Raw genomic sequence first — 17,380 nt, 5'->3', positions numbered from 1 at the left:
GCAGATTTATTCATATTCTAAACACAAAATTTCCAAAATAAATTTCCAAAATCTTTTGGTTTGGAGCTAACAGCATAAACCCCAAAAATGTATGTTATATTTTAATATTAACCTAAAGTAGCAAAAGCCAATGGATGAGAGATTAATTTAAATTTCTGGGACCATCCTGAAAATACTGCAAGAACCTTTATTTCAATGGTTGTGATAGTCATGGTTATTATGGCATGGAAGCATCAAACACCCCTTCATGCCCATAACAGAAATATGAGAATGTGGTACATAGGAATATGCAATGACATATGAAATGGTTTGTCATTTAATAGTTTAGAGCTTAGATTGACTAGTCTTTTAAAAATCTATACCAGATGCAGCATAAATCATGTATTTGGGTTTTTTCTTTAAAATTCTTGGATTTAGTGACTTGCTTTTTGAAGTTCCCATGAAGAAAAACGTAATACCCTAGAAGCTAAATTATTTTTAAGCTTTAAAATATAAGTCTATTAAATAAAAACTATTTACCACTAGTACTAAAATACTTTTTCTTATTGTGGTAAAGTATACATAACACAAAGTTTATCATTTAAATTATTTTTAAGCATACAGTTCATTGGGATTAAGTGCCCTCACATTGTTATGTAACCATCCCCACTATAAAATAGCTTTTAAGTATCTAATAAAGTACTACCTCTGGGACAATTGTTTAAAGAGTATGTGGCTTTGAACCTAGGTCAGCTAAGTTTAAACTTACGAATGGACGGATCAGACATCACAACCATCACATAAGTGTTGGATGTAAAGATGTCAATGAAAGCAGCGAAGTTAGAGTTCCTGACTTCCATACTCTGGAAAGAGGCAGCCAGCTTGCTATAGGAAAATGAAGAAGAGAGGTTAAAGAATGAAATAATAACACTACAACAAGCTCTTATTTATGTTAAACATCTTTTGATGATTGAGGTATAGCACTATACCTCAATTCACCACTTCATTAAGATTGTTAATCACTAACTCTACTTTTTCCAAGGAAACTCTTATACTGAATTTAACATGTTTTGAAAAGTAACTGGGACAAAAGTGGGCTAGGACTTGACTTTTAAAATTTTTTAAATTTCAATTTATTTTTTTATGAGTCAAGAGTTTCGCTCTGTCACCCAGGCTGGAGTGCAGTGGTGCCATCATGGCTCATTGCAGCCTTGAAATCCTGGCTCAAGTGATCCTCCTGCCTAAGCCTCCCAAGTAGCTGGGACTACAGAGGTGCATGCCACCACATCTGGCTAAAGCACTTGAAACTGACTGTGAAATGAAAATTGGCTTAGACCTAGATCCATGTTTAAAATCATGTTTCAGAAGACTTCTTCAATATTTAATAAGCATCTTAAGTTGAAATTTCCTTATCATTGAGATTAATATAACTTTTCAGTTACATTTAAATTCAAGAAATGATCTTTTTTTCTTTGAAAACAAACAAGGCAACTATATTTGCTTGTCATTGGCTATTTCTTCTTCAAAATGTTAGCATAAACATTCCAGAAAGTCTCAAAGTGTGCTAAGGCATAAAGAGAGTAAACTTATTCCTGCTGTTCTGGAATCAAACTGTTATCAGGGTAAGGATTTTGATTATTAAATCTTTGCTAAATTATGATGTTCGGCCATTCCTTTTTCCTAGATTCACAATGCTATGATTCAAACTTTATTTAACAATAGCTGACACAATGTGATTAAACATTTCTAGACTCTCCATTCTGTACCATTTCTGAATCAGTACCTCACTATTTTAAAGTCAAATAGTAAATACTTAAAGTAGTAGTTTTAGAGTAAATTTTGGTATTCAGTAAGGCAAATTCTCCTTCCTCCTTCTTTTTCAAAACTCCCTTGGATATTCTATTTATTTCTTCGCAAATAGTATCAATCATCTCAAAAGGATATTCTGTTTGGATATTTTTCATACACTTCTGTACCAGCTGAGTTTGCATTAAAGGACAACGACCTGCATTTCAGTCAACTGGAGGCCCCTTAGAATTTAGCTTTGTCTTTGATTGAAGGAACTATTCTGAATATAGAAGTACAGTTAACTATAGTTATTTGAACTTCTAAAAAATGACAATAATTTTTTCAAGAGATAAACAGATCATTCCTACTAGATCTCTTACCTGCAGCTCAGCTTGAACTGCTTAATAATGTTGCTTATTTTCTCAAATCTATGGGCATCACGCTGCTCTTTACACTGATAGTGAGAAATTACCTATGAAAAAGAATATTGTCCTTTGAATCCATGCAAAATAGTTACATCATCCTCTGCTACTCCTCAAAGCAGACATTTGTCAGTCCCTTGGTCACTGGTTTTTAGGGTAGACTTGGCACCTGGCTTATTGTCTCTTTTCCTCTGTCCTATATATTATCAACATTCTGTGTGGTTTCAACGTCCATTCAGATGGCCCATCTAGTACCATTTGGTTATAATTAAATCATTTACGTATTGCCTATTTTGGTTCACTGCTATTTTTTCTAACTTTAATCACTAAATATTCATTTTATTTCAATATTTCGCATGATGGTCTTCGATTTTTAAAAAGTATCAATCAAAAAGAAAAACAAATAAAAATTCCTAGCTGTTCTTGAGGTATACTTCATGTGTTTAATTTTAATAAAGGCCAAGCTAACCAAATAGCTTTTGGAATTGTATTTTAAAAGCTTAACTGTTTGATTCCAATCCCTGAGGAATATTTACAAATGAACTTATTCAGGATGGACACCCACACCAGCTGAAAATACTTTTTCTAACTTTTTCAGATTTTAATAAAACCACACAAGTATTACCTATAGGCTGAATATACAGATGCAGAGTGTCTAGTAGGAAGCAAAACTGAGTCACTCACCAGAAGAAAACTCACAGGGAAATTCCATGAGACAATGTGAAAATTTCAAAACATAATTTCTATACCAGTGGAAGAACAAATCCCCCTTGCTTGACTTCACCCCGCTCAGTGAAAATGTTCAGTCACATCTAAACTTGGTCTCAAGAGAAACAAAAACTACCTGTTACTATTAGTAAGGAACAGGGAGCTTATATTAGGTTAACCTCTACAACCATGTGTGGCAGACATAGTAGGGGAATACTGCTGAAGCAGGTTTCGGTCCTGCCACGTACATCAAGACAGAATAGCTTTCTTGCTCATTGTTACTCACACTAGCAGGAAAAACAGGCTCAGGGTAGCACAATTCCAAGCAAGTGACCTCTGCCAGTGGGCTGAGACAGAAAGATACTCTAATTAGGACTCCTTGCCCCATCTATACCAGCTAGAAAGATGGCTCCCAAATACCTCTGGGGTTACAAATAATATTTCCACAAAGGAAGAGGGAAAAATTGTACTTTGGATTCTCTGCCCTGTTGCTATAGTAGCAAAAGGAATCAATATTTAATAGTTTGTCAACTAAATGCCAAGGCTTGCTGGGTGCTCAATGTTCCTGTGTCCCATTTTCATCTGCACAATAAATCTATGATATAGATATTTGTAGAAGGAAAACAAGCCCCTAGAGATTAAGAATTGTTTCTAAAATCACCAAGCATTGGCAGGGCTCAGAAACAAATTATTTACTGGGAACTGCTCTTAGAGTTACATTTACCAAGGCTAATTAGCAATTACTTATGCAGTGTGTTGTGACACCTTAGTTTCTATTATTGCTATTTTTAAAATGTATTTACAAATACAATACTGGTTTTTGCATCCCCCTTTCAGGGTTATACAAACAATAGGCTCTAATATAGTTGCTAAGTTCAATTTACAAGAAAAATAAAAATACCAACATGCCTCTTTCCCTCTCCACTTCTTCATGTGAACTCCTATGTCACTGAGATGACCATAACATCTCTTCTACATTAAAAGTTTTCAATGAGTCTTTTAGAGAAAAGGATAGGATGTGAGTTTTCTCAAAAGGAAAATATCCCACATTTCATAATAAAAGTCCACAGGAAATAGGAATCCTTTAACATAAATGAACAGTTACTAGCATAAATAATCTGAACTCTCTTTTTTTTTGAGATGGAGTTTCGCTCTTGTTGCCCAGGCTGGAGTGCAATGGCATGATCTCAGCTCACCCCAACCTCCGCCTCCCGAGTTCAAGCGATTCTCCTGCCTCAGCCTCCCAAGTAGCTGGGATTATAGGCATGCGTCACCACACCTGGCTAATTTTGTATTTTTTGGTAGAGACGGGGTTTCTCCATGTTGGTCAGGCTGGTCTCTAACTCCCGACCTCAGGTGATCCACCCGCCTCGGCCTCCCAAAGTGCTGGGATTACAGGCGTGAGCCCCCATGCCCAGCCAACAATCTGAACTCTCTAATAATACATACCTGGAAAAATCTAAGTTTCACTAACTTCCAAAGAGCTACACACCAAAGGGCTTCTTTCAGGTCACTTGCTGACAATACTATTTTATAAATAAGTCTGTACATGCTAAAGTTGACAAGAGGGAAAAAGGTTCTTCCTGAAAGTAGTGACATGCTGTTCTCTGTTGCTGAAAACAAAGAACGTACAGTGTGAAGTACATCTGCAAAGCAGAAAGTTCTTACCAGAAAAGTAGCTCTCTCAAAAAGAAGTACTTCATCAGCTTCGATAATTTCAGCAAAATTCCTTAGGTTCATTTCCAGCTGCTGAACATTGGGAATCAGCTGATAAACTATGCTGGACCAAGCCTAACAGAACAGAAACACAGTGTACTATTATTAACAGCTAGTCAGTCCCAGACCTTTGAAATTAGTAAGTACACTATAATATGTGGACAGCAAAATATGATGATAATCCAGTCCCAAACAAATACTGACATTAAATATGATATAACACAAATGAAATGAGAAAATGAAGCTAGCATCTGATTTTTACCCTTGAGTTGAATTTTTTTTAAGTTCAAACACTTTTGTAAAATGCTGGAGAAACTTCTTTCCATTGATAATTGAAAGCAAACAAATATTTAATGCCATCATGTTGCCTTAGGAAAAAAGTTGAAAAATATGATCTACTTTGTTAAAAAGCTCCTAATCTAGTCACAAATATTTAAGTCCAACAGTGTAGATTTCTCTAAAGATCAGAACCTAATTATGCTATATTTAACATATACCTAAGAATCAATTTTATGAAAGTAGCAGAGCCACATAGACAAATGGCCCCTCCCCTCAATAGAATAATATACCATTAAAAGAGAAACTAGTGGCATTATCATTCCCAAAGGTTTGTTGTTATCCATATAAATTATTGATCCAATTGAATTCAAAATGGTCTACTGTGTTTTTGCCTAAAACTGACTTCATCCAGGAGTATGACTAATGTAAGCAGTTGAAATTAACCACACTCTCCCTCTATTCTTGTAGGCTCTTTTATTTGTATTTTCATTATAATACTTCCTTCACTCTCACTCCAATTTGTCTGGTAAGGTGTACTTTGTTCTTCTCTCCCCTACAAGAGGGCAGGAACCTGGTCTTAGTCATTTGTGTATCCAACAGCATCAAGCAGGTATGTAAAGAGTGCTTGTTGAATAAAACTTAATATAAAAATTTAAGTTAGCTCTATGCAACATTGATGTAAGAGACAGAAGTGCCATGTCTCTGTTCCAATTAGTTTTATTACTTAGGCATGAGGGTTCAGGTTCCAAGTTCCCAGGTCGGTGTTAATGTCACTGCTGAATTTACCTTGGAGAAGGCACCAAAGCTAACCACAGCAGAGACATTGTCACTCACAGCAGTGTTGTGATTAGCCAATTGTCTTTGGTCGTGTTATGTATTGCCATCCTTCACACCGCAGTTGGTTCTTATCAGTGCGTCATGTCCATCCTTATTCACGGTTACCTGTTCTATGGGAATAAGGCTTTGAGAGAAATTCGGCCCATATTAATCTAGAACAGTATTTCCTAGACAGGTATCTCAAAATGATCTGTTATTAGAGTGAGGCTGGGTCAACATAATATTGGGGAAAATGAATTAGTTAAAAAAAAAAAAAGCAATGGCTATTTAAAAGTCCAATGGTTTTTCTCCTTGCCACATCAGGTTTCTGTGCTTCTGGTTGTAGATACTTGTCAGATGCTGTTGATACTGAGGCTGTAGCTACCAGTGACAGAGAAGGGTGCTTTCCTACCCAGAGTCAGACTTGTCAATGGATACCAGAAGCAGTCTGAAGGGAAGGGCTAACTACAGAAGGATCCAAAAGGACCTAGTCCTTCAAATAACTAGATCAGTAGGAGAAAGGGAGGAATCAGAATAAGGAGCCTATGTGCCAATAAGGTAATTTCAGCTTCATCCATAACAAAGCTATTGTTGTAACCTCCATAATTAGTGTAAGCAGTGTGGTATCCATTCCAGCAATGGGAACAGTACTTCTGGTTGAAAGAATGCTTGTCTCCAATTTGGCATGAAAGTTGAAGCTATTATACCATATGCTAGGCATAACATGTCTGATTCTAAGACTCCTTCTCCAATCTCTTCCCTAAATATTTTCATTTTATTGCCATCCAAACTTAGGCAGACTAGCTTATATCATGTAGAAGTACCTGAATACTAGATACAACTCCAATCAGCATTGAGACCACAACAGGTCAAAATGGATGATGGCCAGTAAGTGAAACCTCTGCTATTACAAAGACCAGTATCAAATTAATCATGACCAAACTGGCTAATTCAGTGTGACTTGGTAGCTATGTCAACCCAATATAAGATCAAAACCCAAGTCTCTTAATGTTAAGTTTGATATTCTTCAAACAATTTGTTGCAGATTATTTTTCTTTTTAGTACAACAAATCTAGATGGCTATGAAATAGTTTAAAATCTTTTAGGTTTGTTAATATCCTTCTAGGTTTTTTTTCATGCTCTTAAAATGAGGGAACTCAGGGAGACATACACACCTTATAGAGGGTTTCATCCCAGATAGATGTTCGGAAACAAGAACATTCCAATGGGCGAGACAAACGCCTCAAATCTTCTTCTCGCTCTTTAAAAATCTAAATTAAAAAGCCCAACATACTGATCAGCATATAATAGTTCCCATCTTTCAAGCTAAGATGTAGTTATTTTATCATATTTTAACCAGGAGCTTTTGTTCCTTTCTAAGAGGAATTTTAAGTATGTCTATTTCACAAACTAGGATGGCAGAAACTGTTTCTGGTCAGGTCTAAAAGCACAATAGTTAGAATTCTTCAGGCCTATCCTGCTTATGCTGAATACTCACTACGAGCACTATGTTTATAAATAAAGCTTATCATACAGAGGAGTCTTAATAAAATACATCAAACACTCCAAAGCACCAAATCTGGGTCATTTTAAGATAGTTATACACATACCAAGAATATATAAATGAAAATATTTTAACCCTTGTATATATCTTTCTCAGACACATATATAGATATGGAAAAATATCTATATAAATATATATACACAGATATTTTCCCAGGAGTCAGTGGATTGTTGTTAAATATGTACATACACACTGTTATGGTTAATTTTATGTGTCAAGTTAGCTAGGCCATGATACCCAGACATTTGGTTAAACACCAATCTGTATGTTGTTGCAAAGGCATTTTTTTAGTTAAGATTAACATTTGAAACAGTAGACTCTGAGTATTATTCTGTATAATGTGGGTGGGCCTCATCTAATCAGTAGAAGGCCTTAAGAGAAAAAGCCTGTCATTTCCCCAAGAAAAAAGAATTTTGCCTCCAGATTGCTTTCTGACCCGAACCACAAAATTAACTCCACATTAACTCTTCCATGGGTCTCCAGTCTGTCAGCCTGCCCTGCAAATTTTGGACTTGCTAGTCTCTACAATTACTTGAGAAAGTTCCTTAAAATCAATCTCAATCTTTCTCAATCTCTCTCTCTCTAAACACACACACACACACACACACACACACACACACACATACGTATGTATGTATGTATATGTATATTCACATATTCTATTAATTCTGTTATTCTGGAGAACCCTAACACAGACTTCAGTACTGAGAGTGATTCTAGAGAATAACCTTTTTTTTTTTTTTTTTTTTTTTTTTTTTTAATTGATCATTCTTGGGTGTTTCTCGCAGAGGGGGATTTGGCAGGGTCATAGGACAATAGTGGAGGGAAGGTCAGCAGATAAACAAGTGAACAAAGAAACAAGTGAACAAAGGTCTCTGGTTTTCCTAGGCAGAGGACCCTGCAGCCTTCCGCAGTGTTTGTGTCCCTGGGTACTTGAGATTAGGGAGTGGTGATGACTCTTAACGAGCATGCTGCCTTCAAGCATCTGTTTAACAAAGCACATCTTGCACCGCCCTTAATCCATTTAACCCTGAGTGGACACAGCACATGTTTCAGAGAGCACAGGTTTGGGGGTAAGGTCACAGATCAACAGGATCCCAAGGCAGAAGAATTTTTCTTAGTACAGAACAAAATGAAAAGTCTCCCATGTCTACTTCTTTCCACACAGACACAGCAACCATCCGATTTCTCAATCTTTTCCCCACCTTTCACCCCTTTCTATTCCACAAAACCGCCATTGTCATCATGGCCCGTTCTCAATGAGCTGTTGGGTACACCTCCCAGATGGGGTGGTGGCCGGGCAGAGGGGCTCCTCACTTCCCAGTAGGGGCGGCCGGACAGAGGCGCCCCTCACCTCCCGGACGGGGCAGCTGGCCGGGCGGGGGGCTGACCCCCCCACCTCCCTCCCGGACGGGGCGGCTGACCGGGCGGGGGCTGACCCCCCCACCTCCCTCCCGGATGGGGCGGCTGGCCGGGCTGGGGACTGACCCCCCCACCTCCCTCCCGGACGGGGCGGCTGGCCGGGCAGAGGGGCTCCTCACTTCCCAGTAGGGGCGGCCGGGCAGAGGCGCCCCTCACCTCCCGGACGGGGCGGCTGGCCAGGCGGGGGGCTGACCCCCCCCACTTCCCTCCCGGACGGGGCGGCTGGCCGGGCAGAGGGACTCCTCACTTCCCAGTAGGGGTGGCCGGGCAGAGGCACCACTCACCTCCCGGACGAGGCGGCTGGCCGGGCGGGGGGCTGACACCCCCACCTCCCTCCCAGACGGGGCGGCTGGCCGGGCGGGAGGCTGACCCCCCCACCTCCCTCCCGGATGGGGCGGCCGGCCGGGCGGGGGGGCTGACTCCCCCACCTCCCTCCCGGACGGGGCAGCTGGCCGGGCGGGGGGCTGACCCCCCCACCTCCCTCCCGGATGGGGCGGCTGGCCGGGCAGAGGGGCTCCTCACTTCCCAGTGGGGGCGGCTGGGCAGAGGCACCCCTCACCTCCCGGACGGGGCAGCTGGCCAGGCGGGGGGCTGACCCCCCCACCTCCCTCCCAGATGGGGCGGCTGGCCTGGTGGGGGCTGACCCCCACCTCCCTCCCGGATGGGGTGGCTGCCGGGCGGAGACGCTCCTCACTTCCCAGACGGGGTGGCTGGCTGGGCGGAGGGGCTCCTCACTTCTCAGGCGGGGCGGTTGCCAGGCGGAGGGTCTCCTCACTTCTCAGACTGGGCGGCTGGGCAGAGACGCTCCTCACCTCCCCGACGGGGTCACGGCCCAGCAGAGGCGCTCCTCACATCCCAGACGGGGTGGCGGGGCAGAGGCGCTCCCCACATCTCAGATGATGGGCGGCCAGGCAGAGACTCTCCTCGCTTCCTAGATGGGATGGCGGCCGGGAAGAGGCACTCCTCACTTCCTAGATGGGATGGCGGCCGGGCAGAGACGCTCCTCACTTTCCAGACTGGGCAGCCAGGCAGAGGGGCTCCTCACATCCCAGAGGATAGGTGGCCAGGCAGAGACGCTCCTCACTTCCCAGACGGGGTGGCGGGCAGGCAGAGGCTGCAATCTCGGCTCTTTGGGAGGCCAAGGCAGGCAGCTAGGAGGTGGAGGTTGTAGCAAGCCGAGATCACGCCACTGCACTCCAGCCTGGGCACCATTGAGCATTGAGTGAACGAGACTCCCTCTGCAATCCCGGCACCTCCGGAGGCCGAGGCTGGCGGATCACTCGGGGTTAGGAGCTGGAGACCAGCCCCGCCAACACAGCGAAACCCTGTCTCCACCAAAAAAATACGAAAACCAGTCAGGTGTGGCGGCGCCCGCCTGCAATGGCAGGCACTCGGCAGGCTGAGGCAGGAGAATCAGGCAGGGAGGTTGCAGTGAGCCGAGATGGCAGCAGTACAGTCCAGCTTCGGCTCGGCATCAGGGGGAGACCGTGGAAAGAGAGGGAGAGGGAGACCGTGGAAAGAGGGAGAGGGAGACCGTGGGGAGAGGGAGAGGGAGAGGGAGAGGGAGAGGGAGCGAGAATAATCTTAAGGATGAGTTTTCTAAATTGGTTCTGGGGTTGGTTCTCTAATCTGATTAGATTTAAAGGCCCTAATGACTCACTTTCCAGTAGAAAAGACAGTACTGATAATCTATAGTGTGATGTGGCAGCAGAGATACACAAAATACCACCACTGGATATTCCTAATAAAATACTTTTAAGAGGCAAGGTACCACGTGACCACATACATAATTTCGAACATTTTTGTCAAAATAACAAATATGAGATTGGCTGGCTGATCCTAATTGTGCTGAACAAAGTAGAGAAAGGATGAGCTCAGAGATCTGAATTATCAGTATAAATACTTTATAAACGACCACAAAGTTTCTATGACTGCCCTGAAAAAAAACTCTTACCCCCTATAGCTGCAGAGCTGAGACTGATGAAACCAAATTCAGAATCTCATCCTTTAAGTGGATGAATTACAATGCGAACTGAATTCACAACCTCACAGGGCATCTGCTAATAAAGTGAGGGCATTGGCCAAGAAGAAGTAGGATTCTAAAATTTGGAATGGAGGTTATTTGGGAAGATCCTGATGAAGCTGGCAAAATTGAAACCTTAAATTCTCAGTCTTCTTTGCCAGTAGAAGCAGCCACTCCATCCATATCTGATATTAACTCTATTTGGCCTGAGAAAACTGCAATGGTCTCCTCTGAGGTATCTGCCATGCAAGACACTCCTGATTCACTCCCACTACCCCTCTTTGCTTCTACACCTATAACTAGTTCAAGTCTCAGCAGACTCCTAAAGGTGACGTGTGAAGTATGACCCATGAGGAATTATGCTATACTCCAAAGAACTACATAATTTCTCCAATTTACAGACAAAAACCAAGGAAATATGTATGGGAATAGATATTAAAGGTATAGGATAATAGTGGAAAAAATATAAAGTTGGATCAGGCTAAATTTACCGATAGGAGCTCATTAAGCAGAGGTTCCACACTTAATGTTGCAGCCCATGGGGTAAGAAAGAGCTTTTAACAGTTTGTTTGGATGGTTGGATGAAACATGGACCAAAAGGTGGCCTAAACGACATGAAGTTGAAATGCCAGAACTGCCTTGGTATACTCTAGAAGAAGAGATCCATAGAAAAAGAGGCTTTAGGGACATTGTAATGTTCAAGTATTAACAGATTCATTTAAGGCCTACTCACCAAACCTGCGAGGTTCCAGAAGACACACCTTTCTTTCATCATGACTATGAAAAATAAATTTGTAAGGGCAGCCCCAGCTTCTTTCCTCAATTATGTGATCATTCTTCTCTGTAGGCTAGAACTTTCAGTGGGAACTGCTGCCACTGAATTGGGAAACCTAAATGCGACGGGAGTAGTTGGATCCTAGAATGGCAGGAACCAAGTGGGGGCACTTAATCACCAAAGACAAGGTGGTCATAGTACCATAACTGAAGCAGAGTCAAAGCATTAATCAGAATAGTCTGACTCGTAGAGACCTATGGTGTTGGCTAGTTATCATGATGTTCCTAGAAGTGAAATGGATGGGAAGTCTACTAATTTTTTACTTGATCTGTATATGTGGAAGAATTCTAGGTCAAGTGATAAAAAATTTAATTTGAATTATTAAATTGGAGACTCACGGCTTCTCAATCAATACCCAGACTTGTACCAGTTTACAAAACCAGACCCCTTGAATGAAGGGGAGCCTGGGTCCCCTTGAGGAAGGACACTGCCAAGTATTTATACTGTTAATCTTCCTCCCAGCCTCCTCCAAATGGACCTATGTGGCCTTTTAGCAGGGTGACTGTGCGTTACAGAAAAGGAAATAATCTACTACTGAGCATTAGCTCTGAAATGACCCTAATTCCAGTGAGACCTAAAATGTAACTGTGGTCCACCAGTCAAAGTAGGGCCTTATAAAGGTTAAGTAATCAATGGAGTTTTAGCTCAGGTCTGTCTCATGTAGGCCCAGTGGGTCCTTGCAACCTTCTTGTGGGTTATTTTCCCTGTTCCAGAGTACAAAATTGAAACAGACATGCTCAACAACTGGCAGAATCCCTCATTGGTCTCTTGACCTGTGGAGTGCAGGCTGTTGTGGTGGAAAAGCCAGGTGGAACCCATTAGAATGACCTCTACCTAGGAAAATGGTAACCAAAAGCAATATTGCATATTCCTGGAAGGATTGCAGAGGTTAGTGCCACCATCAGACTTGAAAGATGCAGAGTTGGTGATTACCACCACATCCTCCTTCAAATCTCCTATTCAGCCTGTGTAGAAGAAAGATGGCTCCTGGACAGTGGACTGTCATAAACTTAACTAGATGGTGACTACAATTGTAGCTGCTGTGCCAAATGTGGTTTCATTGCTTGAGCAAATTAACATATCCCCTGGTACCTGTATGCAGCTAGTTTTCTAACAAACGCTCTTTTCTCCATACCTGTCTTTATTAAGGCCCACCATAAGTACACTGTAAGTTGTTTGCTTTCAGCAGGCAAGGCCAGCAATACACTTCACTGTCCTGCTGCAGGGGTATATCAGCTCTCTAGTCCTATGTCATAATTTGCTTCACAAGAATCTTGACCACCTTCACAAGAATCTTGACCACCCTTTTACAAGATATTAGGCAGATCCATTACATTGATGACATTATGCTGATTGGACCTAATGAGCGAGAAGCAACAACTACATTAGACTTACTGGTAAGATAGCTGCATGTCAGAGGATGGGAAATCTGACAAAAACTCAGGGGTCTTCTACCTCAGTGAAGTTTTGAGGGGTGCAGTGGTATGGAGAGATACCCCTTCTAAGGTGAAGGATAAGTTGTTGCATCTGGCCCCTCCTACAACCCAGAAAGAAGCACAACATCTAGCAAGCCTCTGAATTTTGGAGGCAACACAGTCTTCATTTGGCTGTGTTACTCTGGCCCATTTACCAAGTGACCCAAAAACCTGACAGTTTTGAGTAGGTCCCAGAACAGAAGGTTCAGGCTGCAACTCAAGCTGCTTTCCACTTGGGTCATATGATCCAGCATATCCAATGGTGCTTGAAGTGTCAATGGCAGACAGGGATGCCATTTGGAGTCACTGGCAAGCTCCCATATGTGAACTGCAGCACATGCCTTCAGCATATTGAAGCAAAGCCCAGCTGCTGTTCACAGATAACTATACCCCTTTTGGGAAACAGTTCTTGGTTTGCTATTAGGTCTTAGTATAGACTGAACACTTAATCATGGGCCACTAAGTAACCATGAGACCTGAGCTACCCATCATGAACTGGGTATTATTTGACCTACCAAGCCATAAAGTTGTGCATATGCAGTAGGACTCCATCACCAAATTAAAGCGGTATATATGAGATCAGGCTCAAGTAGGCCTTGGATGAACAAGTAAGGAACATGGCCACAGTCCCCATTCCTGCTATACTACTTTTTTTTTTTTTTTTTGGCTCACTCTGTCACCCAAGCTGGAGTGCAGTGGCGCAGTCTCGGCTCACTGCAACTTCCACCTCCCGGGTTCAAGCAATTCTTGTGCCTCAGCCTCCTGAGTAGCTCGGACTACAGGCGCATGGCACACACCACCACGCCTGACTAATTATTGTATTTTTAGTAGAGATGGGGTTTTGCCATGTTGGCCAGGCTGGTCTTGAATTTCTGACCTCAAGTGATTTGCCCACCTCAGCCTCCCAAAGAGCTGGGATTACAGGCATGAGCCACCATGTCCGGCCTATACTACCCTCTCTTTTTTAGCCTGCAACTATGGCCTTATGGGGAGTTTCCCACAATCAGCTGACAGAGAAAGAAAACTCAGGACTGGTTTACAGATAGTTCTGCATGATACGCAGGTGCCATCTGGAAGTGGACAACTGCAATACTACAGCAGCCCTGTAAGAAAGTGGTAACTTTCTTTACAGAAAGAAAGTTATGGGACAGCCCTGAAAGAAAGTGGTAAAGGGAAATCCTCCCAATGGGCAGAACTTTGACCACCTGGTTGTTCACTTTACTAGGAAGAAGAAATGGTTAGATGTACAATTAGTTATCAATTCATGAGCTATGGCCACTGGTTTGCTGGATGGTCAGGGACTTGGAAGGAACATGACTGGAAAATTGGTGACAAAACGGTCTGTGGAAGAGGTATATACACAGATCTTTCTGAATGGGTGAAAAATGTGAGGATATTTGTGTCTCATATGAATGCCACCAAAGAATGACTTCAGCAGAAGAGGATTTTAATAACCAAGTAGATAGGATGACCTGTTCAGCCCCTTTCTCCAACCATGCAGGTAACTGCCCAATGAGCTCATGAATAAAGTGGCCATGGTGGCAGGGTTGTTATATATGGGCTCAGCATCATGGACTTCCACTCACCGAGGCTGATCTGACTACAGCCATGACTGAGTGTTCAATCTGTTAGCAACAGAGACCAACACTGAGTCCCTGATATGGCACTATCCCCCAGGGTGATCAGCTAAGTACCTGGTGGCAGGTTGATTACACTCATCTGCTTCCATCATGGAAGGGACATGATTACTGAATTACACATTCTGGATATGGATTTGCCTTCCCTGCATCCATTTCTTCTGCCAAAACTACCATACATGGATTTACAGAATGCCTCATCCACCATCACAGTATTGTACACAGCATTGCTTCTGATCAAGGAACTCACTTCACAGCAAATAAAGTGAGGCAATGGGCTCATCCTCATGAAATTCACTGGTCTTACCATGTTCCCCACCATCCTAAAGCAGCTGGCTTGACAGAATGGCAGAATGGCCTTTTGTTTTGTTTTAATTAGAGATGCATCTCACTATGTTCCTAGGCTGGATTTCAACGAGGCTAGGCAACCCTCTTGCCTTACCCTCCCACAAGGAGGTAGAACTACAAGCATGAGTCATCATACCTGGTTAGAATGGCCTTTTGAAGACCCATTTACAGTGCCAACTATGTTAGATAGTTGCAATACTTTGCAGAGCTAGGCAAGGTTCTCTAGGAGGCTGTATGTGCTCTGAGTCAGCGTCCAATAAATGGTGCTTTTAATTTTATAGTGAGGATTCATGGGGTGGAAACTGGAGTGCCACCACTCACTCCAGTGACCCACTAGCAAAATTTTTGTTTCTTGCCCCTGTGACCTTATGCTCTGCTGGCCTAGAGGTCTCAGTTCCAAAGGCAGAAATGTGTCTACCAGGAAACATAGTGATTCCACTGAACTGGAAGTTAAGACTGCCAACCAGCCACCTTGGGTCCCTCAAGCCTCTGAATCAACAGGCAAAGAAGGAAGTTACTATGCTGACTGGACTGACTGATCCTGACTACTATGGGGAAACTGGATTGCTCCTCCAAAATAGATATAAGGAAGAAGAGTATTTCTGGAATATAGGAGAGCTCTTAGGATGTCTCTTAGTAATACCATGCTCTGTGATTAAACTCAATGGAAAACGACAATGCCCAATTCAGGAAGGTCCACTAATGGTCTTTGGGTCACCCCACCAGAGAATATACAACAAGCTGAGGTGAGTGCTGTGGGCAAAGGTAATCTGGAACTGAATAAGGCAGTTATAAAGACCAGTTAAAAATCACGTGACCAGTTATACAAATGAGAATTGCAATTGTCATGAGTACTTCATCTTGATTTTGTTATGAATATGTATATATGTATATAAAGTAAATGTCTGTTTTTTCCCTTTTAATCCCTTATCATGAACATATCATATGATATATCATAATATTTAAGTATTGTTAACTTTACATTATAATGTAAAAGAAGAGTAAACAGTCAATAACTTTACATCCTCTTCTGGGAAAATGATTATTGCATTTTTGGTTGTACGCAGGATTACTGTATCATGTTAAATGGAAGTATGACCTTGTTATTGTTTTTATTTGAAGATTAGGTATGGTTTCAGTAGATGTGTATGAGTGCCAAGTTGACAAGGGGTATGACTGTAATATTTAGTTTTATGTGTTAACTTGACTAGGCCACAGTATCCTGACATTTAGTCAAACAGCAGTCCAGATATCACTGTGAAGGTAGTTTTCAGATGAGATTAACATTTAAACCAGGAGACTCTGGGTAAAGATTACCCTCTATAATATAAGTGAGTCTTATTTAATCAGTTGGAGGCCTTAAAATAAATACCCCTCTCTCTGCGTGTGTGTGTCTCTTCCTGTCTTTCTATGCACGCGCACATACACACACACATGATTAGTTAGTTCTGCTTCCCTGGAGAACCCTAAGATACACACATAGAAGAAAATAACTAGGTGCGGTTTTTGTATTGTTGCAATTTGCCATTTGATTTTGGAATACATTCTTAAGTAAATGTGGTTATGTTAGACATCATTTTAATGTCCATTTCTCGCTTTATGTTTTTTTGCTAATGACTTATTACTTGCTGTTTATTTTATATTTATTTTAGAATATGGAAATGATGTTAGACAAAAAGCAAATTTGAGCGATTTTCTTATTCGAGTTCAAAATGGGTCGTAAAGCAGTGGAGACAACTCACAACATCAACAACGCATTTGGCTCAGGAACTGCTAACGAACGTATGGTGCAGTGGTGTTTCAAGATGTTTTGCAAAGGAGACACAAGACTTCAAGATGAAGAGCATAGTGGCTAGCCATCAGAAGCTGACAATGATCAATTGAGAGCAATCATCAAAGCTGATCCTCTTACAACTACATGAGAAGTTGCCAAAGAAATCAACGTCGACCATTCTACAGTTGTTCAGCATTTGAAGCAAATTGGAAAGGTGAAAAAGCTCAAAAGGTTTGCTCACGAGCTGAGCAAAAAAAAAAAAAAAAAATCATTTTGAAGTGTTGTCTTCTCTTATCCTATGCAACAACAAATGATCTCTCAATTGGATTGGGATGTGCACCAAAAAGTGGATTTTATATGACAACTGGTGACAACTGGCTCAGAGGATGGACTAAGAAGAACTCTAAAGTACTTCCCAAAGCCAAACTTGCACAAAAAAAGTCATAGTCACTGTTTGTTGGTCTGCTGCTGGTCTGATCCACTACAGCTTTCTGAATCCCGGGGGAACCATTACATATGATAAATATGCTCAGCAAATCAACGAGACGCACCAAAAACTGCAACGCCTGCAGCCAGCACTGGTCACAGAAAGGG

General features: G+C 42.0%; 1 protein-coding gene across 16 annotated transcripts in view; it reads right to left on the bottom strand.

Annotated features, from left to right (window-relative positions):
• Window positions 1-17,380, bottom strand: part of RRAGB (Ras related GTP binding B) — a 41,026-nt gene that overhangs the window by 695 nt on the left and 22,951 nt on the right. For 4 of the 16 annotated variants that reach the window (NM_016656.4, NM_006064.5, NM_001354011.2 and 1 more), the window contains 4 exons: window positions 6,884-6,979; window positions 4,566-4,688; window positions 2,148-2,239; window positions 749-864 (listed from right to left, as the gene is read on the bottom strand). In NM_016656.4, coding sequence (NP_057740.2) covers window positions 749-864; window positions 2,148-2,239; window positions 4,566-4,688; window positions 6,884-6,979 — 427 coding nt within the window. The other 12 variants (NR_148686.2, NR_148690.2, NR_148685.2 and 9 more) reach the window with 11 other exon arrangements.

This window comes from Homo sapiens, chromosome X (genome assembly GCF_000001405.40).
Source record: "Homo sapiens chromosome X, GRCh38.p14 Primary Assembly".
Lineage (NCBI taxonomy): Eukaryota > Metazoa > Chordata > Mammalia > Primates > Hominidae > Homo > Homo sapiens.
This window is presented reverse-complemented; position numbering and strand designations above follow the sequence as displayed.